Here is a 14,005-nt window from a genome sequence, read left to right on the forward strand (position 1 = left end):
ATAGAATGAAGAAGTAAAGTTTTGAAGAGTTGCCTCATGATAGGCAAATTTTCCCTATGGGGTCAGTAAGCCAATGGCAGCCTCAACCCCAGCCAATATAAGGCGAATTGCCCGCTTAGCTCTCAGGTAAGTGATGTTATATAATTGTATATTACAGGGCTTTGCCTGTCTTATTGTACATTGACCCCGAACCAGATGTTATTGATACACTGGTAACCATTGGGTTCATGATCCCAAATGAGAGACAAGTTATTTATACCTGATTGAATAGGTGACCACATGGCCATAGGTATCTACTGGGGGTGCAAACCTGTATGGGATGGGAGTTATTAAGGAGGCTGAGTAGGAGGCACTAAGGATGTTAGTTATCTGTTTATTTCTTTTTCTTTTTTTTTTTTGAGACGGAGTCTCGCTCTGTCACCCAGGCTGGAGTGCAGTGGTGCTATCTTGGCTCACTGCAAGCTCCGCCTCCTGGGTTCATGCCATTCTCCTGCCTCAGCTTCCCAAGTAGCTGGGACTACAGGCGCCCGCCACTGCGCCCAGCTAATTTTTTGTATTTTTAGTAGAGACGGGGTTTCACCGTGGTCTCAATCTCCTGAACTCGTGATCCGCCCACCTCGGCCTCCCAAAGTGCTGGGATTACAGGCGTGAGTCTGCGCCTGGCCCCATTATCTGTTTATTTCTAAAACAACAGCTTTAGGTATTATAAGGGTTCACAAGTGTAGGCCATGGTGTCCTTCTCAGGTGCCTGTGGGGACTCATAAGAAACGGGCTTAATCTTGGACAGGTGCACAAGAAGCCAAGTAAATTTGTTTTTCAAAATTTTATTTAAAAATTATAAAATTTTAATCTTGATCATAAGATACAACTTCCATAAGCCTTTCATAACCTTTACAATCTTTATATAGGAGACAGTTAATACTTCAAGAAAACCTTGTTAATTTGACTCAGGGGCCCATATGCTGGTCTTGCTTCAGTGTGCCTTCAACATTAATGATTAATTTATAGAGAAATTGAACTTATTTTATCTTTAAAATCAGCCCTTACAATCTCACGCACCCTCCTCTACCGAGACAGTCCATGGGCCTTGAGGAGTTGAATAGCTTTAATTTCTGTCCCTGTGTTTCAGGAATGCAGTTGATTTTGATTGGCATCTTCTACTGGGCCCAAAGATGGGGCTTTAATTGCTGTCAATGTTTAAAAATTGAGCAGGACTTGGTGTCCTTTTCAGACCCAGCAGTCAAAGCCCTGTAACTCAATGTCACAAGAACTTTAAAAGCACATACAGGAAGATACACAAATGTAATAACTTTAATTTAAAAAATTAAATATCAGCGGGGTGTGGTGGCTCATGCCTGTAATCCCAGTACTTTGGGAAGCCAAGGGGGGACGGATCATGAGGTCAGGAGTTCAAGGCCAGCCTGGCCAATATGGTGAAACCCCATCTCTACTAATAATACAAAAATTAGCTAGGCATGATGGCGTGCACCTGTAGTCCCAGCTACTCAGGAGGCTGAGGCAGAAGAATCACTTGAACCCAGGAGGTGGAGGTTGAAGTGAGCCGAGATTGCGCCACTGCACTCTAGCCTGGGCAACAGAGTGAGACTCTGTCTCAAAAAAAAAAAATTATCCTTTTCCTAAGCAAACCAAATTTAACAATAATGGCATAGGAATTATTTCAATAAAATGTTAAATCTGTTAGGTCATTTACCAAAAGGCAAAAGAAAAGACCTTCTGCAGTGCACAGAACATTATGTTGGAAGAAAACGTTTCCTTAGACCTTTAGGAAAACGTGCCTTTTAAAACGGGAGAAAAAGCCAACAAATGGTGAGATGCAATAAAAGCTGAATTTTCAGTAAAAAAAATTAAAATCTATTATAATTTGTTAAGAGTAAATCAACCCCTTAAGAAAATTTCATTGTTCTAACCAATAATTTAGTGCGTAAGTGTTTTTTTTTACATCAAGCCCAATCTCTAGGAAGAGCAATATAATTTCCCATTACTTATAAACAACTTGATCATATACAAATTTTTGTTTTTTTTTAAAAAAAAAATCCTCTTACTATGACTTATACAGAGCATTCATCACATGCCTGGACTTTGTCTTTTGTCCTGAACATGCTCTTTCTTAATCAGTCATTTTATTTTAGGACTAAACTTAACATACAAGATTCTTTCTCATATAAAATTATTTCTCTTTAAGCTTTCTTAACACAAAAAATACCTCTTTATTTTTATAACTTTCTTTACATCTCTCTTATTTTCTGGTTCTTTTACCTCGTTTTATATATAACCTTTAAATAAGCTTTAAATTAGATAAAACTTGTTCACCTTTTTTTAAAAAGGACACACCTTTTTTTTTTTAGCAAGAATGTTTTCCTACAATATACTTTCATTGGAAAATACCTAAATAGTGAAATATCTATTATTTAATATAACTTTCTATTCTAAATTATGACAAATTTGTCTACAAGTATGTATCACATTACATTTACCTAATTACCTTGTTTACCTAGATTGTTTATGAAAACTGTGATAGTCATGATTTAAAGTTATGAAACCATCACTGCAAAATTATAACTGAGATAGGGAAAAAAGATTTGACTAACTAACTCCAACTTGCTTCTAACCTCCAGGCTGTCCTTGTTCATTCCTGGACTTTGGGAGGAACTTAGTTTATAGTTTAGCTTTGAAACAAACACTATAACAGTCCTTTCTCAAAACAAACTTCCTTACTGCCTGTGCACTAGACTGCCTAAAGCCACAGAATTAGAAGTTATGATAATCTTACTAAATTCAAAATGCAACTATATTCATTAAATCAATATCAATGACTTATTTATTAAAGATTACACAAGCAAATATCATTATGTTTTGGGCCGGGTTTATAGTTTTGTAAACCCTCTGCCAAATTTTGACAACTTATACTATTTGGCAGGGGTAAGTATGAAATTGCTTGATTAATAATTGCAAACAAAAATGTATGCTGACATTTCTAATATTACTTTACCAATAATTTTAAAGCGAGCTCATTTATTAATAATTTTACTTAAGTTATGCAAACTTGAAAAAGCATTTGACTAATCTTTCCTTTTTTCCTGATAAAGTATTTACGTATTAAGTATAAATCATTGATATTGATTTAATGAATATAGCTGCTTTTTGAATTATTTCACTTTGAGCCAATTAATTAGAGCTCTTTTATATATTTTTCATAGTGAAACATTGTGTACACAACACATAAATACAGACATATTAGGCATGCTGATAAAAGTACATCTTATAGATTCATAAAAACCTCTTTTTTCATATCTTAGACTTTCAGATTCTTGATAACCTGTTTCAGAACCCTAGACAGTTGTCAGCTAAATAGCCTTAAATCTGCATATCAGGTGAAAGTCAAATAGCAAAATTTACATTATCAGGTACACAGAGAAAATGTCTGGTGGTGCTAGAGAAAGATTAAAGATGGATGCCAACTCAGTAATAAAATTACAGAAATTTATTGTTGGATTACATAGGAAGACTGATTTTATTTAGATAGAGACTACCTGTTTTTCTTTTTTTAACCAGATATCTGAGCTCTGGGTAGAGCCCACACTGAATCCTGGGTCTCCAAAAAGGGTGAATTATTATGAGGCTAGACAACGTGATGCTTTTACAGTGCACTTAAAAAATAGTTTTAAACAAAGACATTTTTAAGTGTCTAAACTACACTCTTCCTTAAAAACCCCAGAGTAGCCTCTGTGCAGTATCTATTTTAGTCAAACAATCAGGTAATAACAGAATTCAGTCAACTGAGAAGAAAAAAACTTTTGCTAAAAAAAAAAGGCAAGGTCCTAGAGGAGAAAAACAACCAAAAAACAAACACATGAAGACCTTTCAAAGACAAACATACACATATGCGTGCACGCACACACACACACACACACACACGTACATCTTGGATGTTAGCCTTTTAATTAAACTGACTTTTAACCATTGAGCTCTTTTTAAAATAATCCATTTAAATTTCATTACCGTATTTTAGTCAGAAAAAATTGCTGCTATTTCAGAGGTACCAAGTATCAAACCAGAAAGGGCTTGATTTAGGAACCAAACCCACCAAACCCAGGCTCTCATGGTGAAAAGAAAGCAGAGCCTTAGGTATGGAACTACAGCGTGGGGCAACTGCCATTGTTTCAGTTTGGCCTGCTAGCAAAAAAGTGGCCTTGTTCTGTAAATAAAACCCCTTTAGTAGTCAAAATCAAAAATCTTTCCTTTTTTTCTCCTTTTGCTGGCTGTTTTTCTCCCCCAACCATACCACCTTTTGTGTGTGTGTGTGGAGGGGAGGCGGGGGGTGGAATTTAGTCACTTCAGAGGCCTTGTTCCCCATAATTTGGAACTTCCCTTCAGAGTTGATCAAGTTGGATAGAGTTGATTAAACCCAATGGGCAAAAGACTGAAACAACAAGAGAAACAGTAGGAAAAACAGAAACAAACAAACACCAAAAAAAAAAAAAAAACCCTTAAGCAAAACAAACAATGGCACAACTTACATGATCACTGAACACTCTAATGGTAAAAAGAAATTAAGACCAGCTGGTTGTTAACTTTAACTTTAGCCAAGACAAACCCCAATTCAGTTACTTACCCAGGGATGGGTCTCAGGCTGAAGACTGCTCTCCACCATCCTAGAAGCAGGAAAAATCTCATCTTCGCTGTTGGAAGTGAGCTCAAACTCCATAAAGGAGTTACCTGCCTTCCATTATCACGGAAGCAGGAAAACTTCCCTTCCTTGTTGGAAGAAAGTAAAACTCCAAAATAAAGGAGTTGTACACCAAAATAAACTTGAGATCTTGACCAAATTTTGGGAGAGCAGGGATTCTCTGGAGGGGCAGCTCGCAGACCTCAGCAAATTGTCCTATTGATTTGAGCAATAAATTAGTTCATGATGTACCAAGCATCAATACAAGATTTGTCAAAGCTCAGGGGCACCTCCACTCAGAATCCCCCCATGGTTACCAAATATGAACCCAGAAAATTTGAGACAGGTCCCAGTTAATTTAGAAAGTTTAATTTGTCAAGGTTGAGGACACACGCCCATGACACAGACTTAGGAGGTCCTGATGACATATGCCCAAGGTGGTCAGAGCACAGTTTGGTTTTCTGCATTTTAGGGAGTCATGCTGGTTCCGTCTGGAAAGGTGGGACAACTCAAAGCAGGGAGGGGGTTTCCGGGTCACAGGCAGGTGAGAGACAAACAGTGCATTCTTTTGAGTTTCTGATTAGCCTTTCCAAAGCAGGTAATCAGATATGCATTTATCTCAGTGAGCAGAGGGATGACTATGAATACAAGCAGAGGGATGACTATGAGGCAGGTTTGCCCTGAGCAGTTCCCAGCTTGAATTTTCCCTCTACCTTAGTGATTCTGGGGGCCCAAGATATTTTCCTTCCACATAGACATAGAACAAATTATATTATTTCAGATAAAGGCAAAATTATGAAATGAATCATAATGTTTTGGAATACAGACCTGTCCTTGTGTCTCATGAAAGCAGTTTACGTTGTCCCCTTTGCCCAGGTCTAAAGACGAGCCTTCAGTTAACTTGAGTTTTTGTCAGATACTGGTAGAAGTCAGTGCCATCTTTAGATATGTGTGTCCAGGAGTCAAAGCCCTACAACAGGTTATTAACTAAGCACAAGCATTGGTTAATAACTCTTGATAAGGACAGCTTCAAGGGGGCTGAGGGAATCCTTTAACTGATTTTTCTTCCAATATATAATTTTCAGGCTGGAGGTGGTGATACTGGACTTCATGGTCTGCCAGAAAGTTCTAGAAAGAGTCTATGACCTTGCAGAGATTAATTTCTATAGGCTTAATAAGCCCCAGCAATAAGACTAAATCAGAGACTAAATTTAAGATTTTGATTTTGAGGATATTTCTCTAAGATGTTAAAAGGCTCAAAACATTTTATTAACATAAAATCACAGGTCATTGTAATAGTTATACACTTAACCAAGAGTAATAATCATAAAGACTTTAACAAGCAATAGAGAAAGTCACATGGAGGTAAAAACCTTAACCCTTTTAACTTTCAGTTTTTTTGCAATCATAAAGCTAATAAAGACAGTATAGGAATTATCGTGAAAAAAACATAAAATCTTGTTTTTTTTTAAGCCAGCTAATAAAAAGGCAGGGAAAACCTTCTGCAGTGAGACCGCTTCTTCTTACAGGAAGCCCATTTAGATAACCTGGAAGACAAACTTGAGGAAAGAAGTGCTTGAATGCAATCAGACACAGGAACAGTGTTTAAGGTTATGAGCATATGTGACCCTTAGGAACAGCATGAGAAGTTTTCTGATTACACTGAAAATTTAGACACAGCAAGAAAAGCCAAGAATATAAAATCAAGTTATACTAGAAGAAAACATTGCTTTTCTAGACCTTCAAGATAAAACTTTAGCATCAGGTCATTCCAACAGTTAAAACTGGAGGAAAAAAGGGGTGCAGGAGCTGACAAAAAATGCTGAAGGAGAAGGTCATCATCTCAGGCCTGCTCAAGGGGGAAAAAGCTGAAAGCAGTGAGACAGAAAAAATGGAATGTCGGAAATATGGATCTGAGAAGTTTAGAAGAGAAACGGGGTATAAAATTGAAAGTAAAATTTCTTGTAACTTCATTCACAGCAAATCAGTACCTCAAGAAAACTTTGTTTTAACGTAGGCGACCAATTTTTAGAAAGACTGTTATAAATGGCTTCCTTTCAATTATAACCAACTTAATCATATACAAAATTCCTTTCATAAATTCCCCTTCACGAACTTTATCCCAGTGTACACAGACCATCTTAGATGTGCTTGGACTTTCTGCCTTGCCCTAACCTTCTCTCTTTCCTAAATAATCATTTAGTCATTAATGACTAATAACTAATAATAATAGTCATATTAATGGCTAATGACTAATAATCATTAGTCATTTTACTTTAGGACAAAAATTTACCACACGAGATCCTTTTTCATACATTATTTGCTATTCTTTATAACCTTCCTTACCAAAAATACATCTTCATATCCATAACTTTTATTCACATCTCTCGCTCCCCTACTTACTGGCTCCTTTCTACCTTGCTTCATAAGTAACTATTTTCAAGTTCATCATTTGAATTGACCTTTAGATAACTTCTGAATTAGACAAAATTATTTTTCTTCTCAATAAGACTAGTTCCTGGGAGGCTTTTGGCCTCCAATGCTGCCCAGAGACATGCTGAATTAAATAACCCAAAGAAAGAAAATCACCAGGAGAAGGAAAATGGCAGGCATAAACTTCAGAGCATGCAAGCTCAGGATGACGGGCATCACTAGTGAGGCACAGACAGCAAATATGCAGCCAATGAAGGGGACGAGGGAGACCCAGCAGGACATGCTGGCAAATATCCCTCTGAGTCTCAAATGGGCTTTCCACTGGGGTGGCACTGCAGCCCTGGGACCCGAAAGGCTGAAGAGCCCCATGTAACAGGATGGTGGCTGACCTGGAGGATCCCCGGCTCCAGGCTCCCCAGCAGACAGAACCCAAAGGATCCCACACCTCTGGGTGAGGTCCACTAACCCCTAGTCCCTAGGGGAACATAAAGGAGCATGAGCATCCCTGTGTGTCCCAAGGCTTGGAAGGCTGAGCACATTGCATACAGGAAACCAGAGCGGGAAGGGAAGGGAAGGGACAGCTAAGCGCACTCGCTCATCCGTGAGTGGGAAAACTGAGGAAGCAAGAGATCCTGCACTGTTTGCCAGATGTTAGCACTTTATAGATAAGACCCTTCCACAATTCTAGAAACATGTTTCCCATAGCATAAACTTTTCTTAATTGGAAATGACCCAGACATCCAACACGCAATCCAAGGAAAGCTGTGGACCAAAGTTTTGGTAAAGTAGTCTTTAAGGAAGTTTGGTTTAAAAAAAAAAAAAACCTTTTCATCATTTTTTTCTTCAGTTTTAAATGAGTTTTTAATGTATACATTTTAGCCAGAACTGGCTGAACTGTACAAGAAAAGACAATCTCCAGGTAGCCTTGAATTAGTAATACCAAAAACAGTGAGTCTCACCTCAACACCGTGAGATAAGCAGAGTTGCCACTCGGCAGCAGATTAGTAACAGCAGATCCAAAGCAGGCAGAAAAGAACAGAGAGAAACACATAAAGAACATTAGAATCCGCCACTGGAAGGTGGAAACCTCTGGACCAGCCATTTGGGGCTGCCCCAAGGCTGCAGTACAGCAAAGCAATGAGCTGGGAAATGATGAGAAGTAGAGCTTTCCCATCCCCAGCAGAGGGCACAAGGTGGATTAGTTCAGATCATGTACTGACAAACATCTTGCAAAGAGACTTCCATTGTTCCAGATATACCCCAGGGCATCTAACCTTGTGGGCTGAGCCTCTAACCTGAGTTTCTAGGCGAGCATCCTTGTCTAAGCATGACATAGGATGCCAAGAAGGACCCCATTTACCAGAGGTGGCCAACTGGTGCTGCAGACAAAACTTCCCCAGCACATAGTCTCATCTTATGGTCCCTTAGTGCATCGCCAGAAAGATGTTGCTGGAAGAGGGTTTTTCAGTCTTGCACAGGAAGGAATTCAGGTGAGTCACAGAGTGCAGTGAGAAGAGATCATTTATTGAAAGCTACTCAGATGCAGAGTAGGGCATCCTCAGAAAACAAGAGGAGGAACGCATTGTCTTTGTTTTAAACTCCTCTCATGTAGGGGTCTTATCTATGTAAAAGCTAAGTTAAGTCTATGTGTGGGTGGGTTGACAGCGTGACAAAACTTATTACTTTGTTGATTTAAAGTAAACTATCCTTGGGATTTTAGTGAGTAAGTACATCAAAGCATGATTCTAATTATTTTAAAAGCACATATTGTTATTAGATATTGGCGCATTTGGACATTTTGTTGCTGTAGGAGTTAGTCCTTGCAGGCATTACTAAACTCCCTCCTTAGCTGTCAACACCTGTGACCATGGGCTGTGACTGGCAAGGAATTGCCTTGCTTGTTTTAAAATGGAATTGGCTTTAAAATGGCGTCACTCTGGCTCTCCTACACTCCTGTTTCTCTAGTAATCCCATCAAAAGCAATGTACAAATTCAATGGGATCCCTATCAAAATTTCAGTGGTATTTCTCACAGAAATAGAAGAAAGATCTGGCTGGACACGTTTGCTTACGCCTGTAATCCCAACAATTTGGGATGCCGAGGTGGGTGGATCACCTGAGGTGAAGAGTTCAAGACCAGCCTGGCCAACATGGCAAAATCCCAACTCTACTAAATACACAAAAGTTAGCCGGGCATGGTAGCACACGCCTGTAGTCTCAAGCTACTCAGGAGGCTGAGGTGGTAGAATCCCTTGAACCCGGGAAGCAGAGGTTGCAGTAAGCCAAGATTGTGCCACTGCACTGCAGCCTGGGCAACAAAGTGAGACTCCATCCCTCCCCATCAAAAAAGAGAGAAAAGAAAAAAAATCCAAAATCGGCATGGAACCACAAAAAAAAAAAAAAAAAATAGCCAAGGCAATTTTGAAAAAGAAAAACAACGGTGGAGGCATCACACTTCTGGATTTGAAACAATGTTATAAAGGTGTATAATATGGTTTGCCCTGCCTTTCTCTGGCAAAGACAGACTGTGAGGTCTACATGGCTAATTTCCAAGCAGCCACATGCCCTGCAGACATGAACTCCTAGCAGGGAGCTCAGAGGCCTGCTTGGCTTTAGCTGGGCTCCGAACACACAGCAGCCCTTGAAGGCTCCTCCCTCTGCTCTCCCTCTGCTCTCCTTCTGCTCCTCCCTCTCCTCTCCTTCTGCTATTGCCTCTGCTGCAGAAGCCACAGGCTCCCCTAACGTCCTCCTGCCCCCTGCTCTGGAATATACTCTCACCGTTTGATGGACTTTGCTGGGCTGCTCCTCCTCTTGGTAGAATGGTTCTCTGACATCAAGACATGAGAGGCATTTCTGGTTTGAAGGCTATCTGATGCTGTTTCCTGGTAAGGAAGTCGTAAGTTGCTATTGTCTTCCAGAGGCATTTGAGGAGCAGCTGCAACACACCAGAGGTCCCTGCTGGGTGGCAGTGCTGGCCTCTGCCAAGGGTTCCCAGGCAGCAAGTGTCCTGATAGCAGACATTCCTAACCACATCTGGACGACTGGCTCAGGAGGCCTGCATGAAGCTGCATGCACCACCTCTTGAAAATACATTCATGCTTTTATTGGTTCAGGGACCCATTTGAATTCAGAATAGCAAGGGCGGTGTATTCCTCAATGGGGAATGTTGTGTCTCCAGATCTCTCATAGGTCCACATGGCTCTGCTTCTTGTTTAGCAAAGGGCTCAGTAAGAGATAATAATTTGCTTCTCTCTGTTTGAGGGACATTCCCGGTTATACTGGCACAGGCATTCCAGAGAAGTCCCCAGACCGGACTGGGCCTTGCATTTGGCCAGGCTCTGTTGGGTGTTTGGGCGAATACAGCCCAGTGCTACTCTGAGCAGGCCATCAGCATGACGGCATCCACATCTCTACTAACTCACTCTCATGGTTAGCTAGTCCAAGTCCCGCCACTCCTCATGCCAGGAAATTCAAATATCCCTGTGCCAAATGGCACATGTTTACCTAACCACATTCTCCTAAAGTTATGCCTGGCTGGACTGCAACAGTGGGTGGAAAAGAAGGAAATGTGCCTTTAGACCAATGGGGTGTACTACAGTATCCCACCTGCAACCCTTACCTCCCGCTTGTTGAGTTACCTGGACAGTCTTTACAATATGAGGTATAGCTGAAGAAATGCAGCATACTGCACTGTTGAACCCTGCACATCTGCTGTCAGCCTCCACAAATAATCTCTCAGACAGGATGGTTAAAAATAAAATCAAGGTCAGGTGGAGTGGCTCACGCCTGTAATCCCTATACTTTGGGAGGCTGAGGCAGACGGATCATTTGAGGTCAGGAGTTCGAGACCAGACTGGTCAACATGGTAAACCCTGTCTCTACTAAAAATACTAAAATTAGCCAGGCATGGTGGCTCATGCCTGTAATCCCAGCTACTCGGGAAGCTGAGGCAGGAGAACCACTTGGACCTGGGAGGCAGAGGTTGCAGTGAGCCGAGATCATGCCACTGCACTCCAGCTTTGGTGAAAGAACAAGACTCTGTCTCAAAAAAATTAAAAAAAAAAATCAGTGGGAATCAATTCCTCCACTTCAGCCTTTTCCTTGAGAGTAGTGAGGTCTGGCGCCCTCCTGAAGTTGTGCAGGGCTCAACGTCGATTACAGAGGAAAGTCTGGACCATCCAGAATATTCCAACACAGCATTCATGAATTAACCACAGAGGGAAGACTTTGTTCATATTCCTTGAAAAATTACTCCCAAGATCCATTGTAATGAGCCTTTTTGGCATCATATATGAACCATATAACTTCTGGGTCATTGCCATGGCATTTGTAAATTGTCATGGTGCTGATGTGGTGTCTTATGAGAATGTATTATAATTAGCATATAATGAGCAATGAGGGCAACTAGAAGTCACTTATGTCACCATCTTGGTCCTAGCTGGTTTGGGCCAGTTTCTTTGTTATATCCTGTTTTGATCACAGGGTCATGATCAAGGCTCGGAAAACAAGTCCTGCTGATATCATACCTCACAACTATTTCGGGATTGGTCAGCAACTCAAATATTGTCTTCTGTTAAGCAATGTCTGTTAAACGGGAAAATGGACGAGAGACATAAATAGAGAGATCACAGGAAAATGCAAATATCCACTAGCCATATCAAACATATCAAACCATATCAAGTGCTCAAGCTCACTTATAATTTAAAAATGCAAATTAAAAATACACCCGGATACTATTTTCATTTTCATCTGTCACATTGGTGAAAATCCAAAGAGTAAATAAGAGGACATTCTTTCTGACACCACCATGAAAACAAGCACTCACTCCTCAATGACAAAATTGTCCAAAGACCAGATAGAGCAACTGGGCAATACTCATATAAACTGCAAATATATTTAACTTTTGTCCCTTGATCTCATTTCTGGAAAGCTGTGGTATAATGGTATATGTAAGGAATGACATTAGGGACAATTGCAGCGTCATGTATATGAAAGTTGACTTCATAAATTGAGTTATTCTGGTCATACCCGACTAAGTCAAGGCAGAGGGCCAGAGGAAAACCACTCAGGCAGACAGCACCTGCTCCAAGAACCATCTGCAAGCCCAAGTGCTGAAACGCCTGCTGCAACTTTACAATCAGGTGCACCTAACAGCTGCTGGAACGACCTGCCGTGACTCAAAGACAAGGTCTACCTACTGTGTCACTCACCCATCAGAGCCTGCCAGCTCCCCAAACCTCTACCAGGGCCCACAAGTTTTCTTTCTAAACAATAGGTAACATTTCTTAAATAAAACTTTCAACCTTCTCTTTGTTCGTCAGACACACCAAACACATTTCTGGTCTGTGTACGCCCAGAATTACAATTCTGTGATTCCTGAATAAAACGTTTAGAGATTCATCCTATAATGTATTTGACTTTGACATGTGAGATATAAAAACACTGTGAACAACACAAATGTTCATTCAAGGAGGCTATTTAAATTAACTATGGTACATCCAGGCCATGGAATATGATGCAACTTGTATTAGTCCTTTCTCCCATTGCTATAAAGAAATACCTGAGGCTGGGCAATTTATAAAGAGAAGAGGTTTAATTGTCTCACAGTTCCACAGGCTGTGCAGGAAGCATGGTGCTGGCTTCTGGGGAGGCCTCAGGAAACTTACAATCATGATGGAAGGCAAAGGGGAAGCGGGCACCTCTTACGTGGCCTGAGCAGGAGGAAGAAAGGGAGTTGCCTACACACTTTTAAAAAAAACAGATCTCGTGAGAACTCCATCACAAGAACAGCACCAAAGGGATAGTGCTAAACCATTCATGAAGGACCACCCCTATGATCCAATCACCTCCCACCAGGCCCCACCCCCAACACTGGGGATTACAATTCAACATGAGATTTGGGTGGGGACACAGATCCAAACTATATCACAACTGTAAAAAAAAAAAAAAGACAAAGAAGAAAGCAAAGAAAGGAAAAGAGTGTGAAATTCCTGCTCCTGCCTGTGTTAACAGAGGGCCTCTATACAGAGGGTTGAGAGGAGAAAGCAGGGTGGAGAACACCACCTGTGGATTGCCCTTTGGGGCCTACTCACATGGGCCCAATTTCTCGTAAAACTAGTATTTAGGGTTTCTTTTGAATAAACATAGAAATTGGCCCACCCTGTCTTAAAACTTGGGAAAGTTACATTTGTCTTATCTGAGCTCCTTTCTCAGGAAACCAACCATCGGGCCTCCCAGACAGTATCAAGGCGCTGAAACTCAGTAGGTCCTTGAGGCCAGACCCCTCACCAGTCATGACTGCCTAGCTGCCTCCTCACTCTCCCTAATTCCTGTTTTCCCACACAGGGTGACATTTCTTCCCTGCTCTGGAAACTTCTAATTTTAGTGGGCTGAGGAGAGGGATTTGTGACTGAGCGCCCATCTCTGGGCTGTAGCACTTGAATGAGGCCTTCTTCCCTGGCACTGCTGTTGGTGATTGGCTTTCTGTGCAGGGCAGGGGGCCTAGATGACAACCCTGATGTTTGGGTAGCACTGTCACTGTGAGAGGCATGGAAATCCTCCAGTTCTTAGTCTTCTTGGAGGAAGGAATTCAGACAAGAGATGCCTAGCAAGAGGTATAGGGTTAAGTAACCTTTATTTAAAGAGTCAGGATCTCAGAGAGACAAGACAGAACCTGCCACTCAGGAGATAGAGCCAAAAGCTAGTGACTTAGGAGGAATTCTTTTCTTTCTCTTTTTTTTTTTATTTTTTTGAGACAGAGTCTCGCTCTGTGGCCCAGGCTGGAGTGCAGTGGCGCGATCTCGGCTCACTGCAAGCTCCACCTCCCGGGTTCACGCCATTCTCCTGCCTCAGCCTCCCGAGTAGCTGGGACTACAGGCGCCAGGAG

General features: G+C 41.1%; 1 long non-coding RNA gene across 1 annotated transcript; it reads right to left on the reverse strand.

Moving 5' to 3' along the window:
* Positions 1–808: 808 nt before the first annotated feature.
* LOC124902032 (uncharacterized) lies at positions 809–13,895 on the reverse strand. The gene is made up of 2 exons (XR_007061133.1): positions 5,516–13,895; positions 809–4,903 (listed from the first exon to the last, which is right to left on the reverse strand). It is a non-coding gene; the product is annotated as an uncharacterized LOC124902032 (long non-coding RNA).
* Positions 13,896–14,005: the final 110 nt, after the last annotated feature.

The sequence above is a fragment of the Homo sapiens genome, chromosome 8 (genome assembly GCF_000001405.40).
Source record: "Homo sapiens chromosome 8, GRCh38.p14 Primary Assembly".
Classification (NCBI taxonomy): domain Eukaryota; kingdom Metazoa; phylum Chordata; class Mammalia; order Primates; family Hominidae; genus Homo; species Homo sapiens.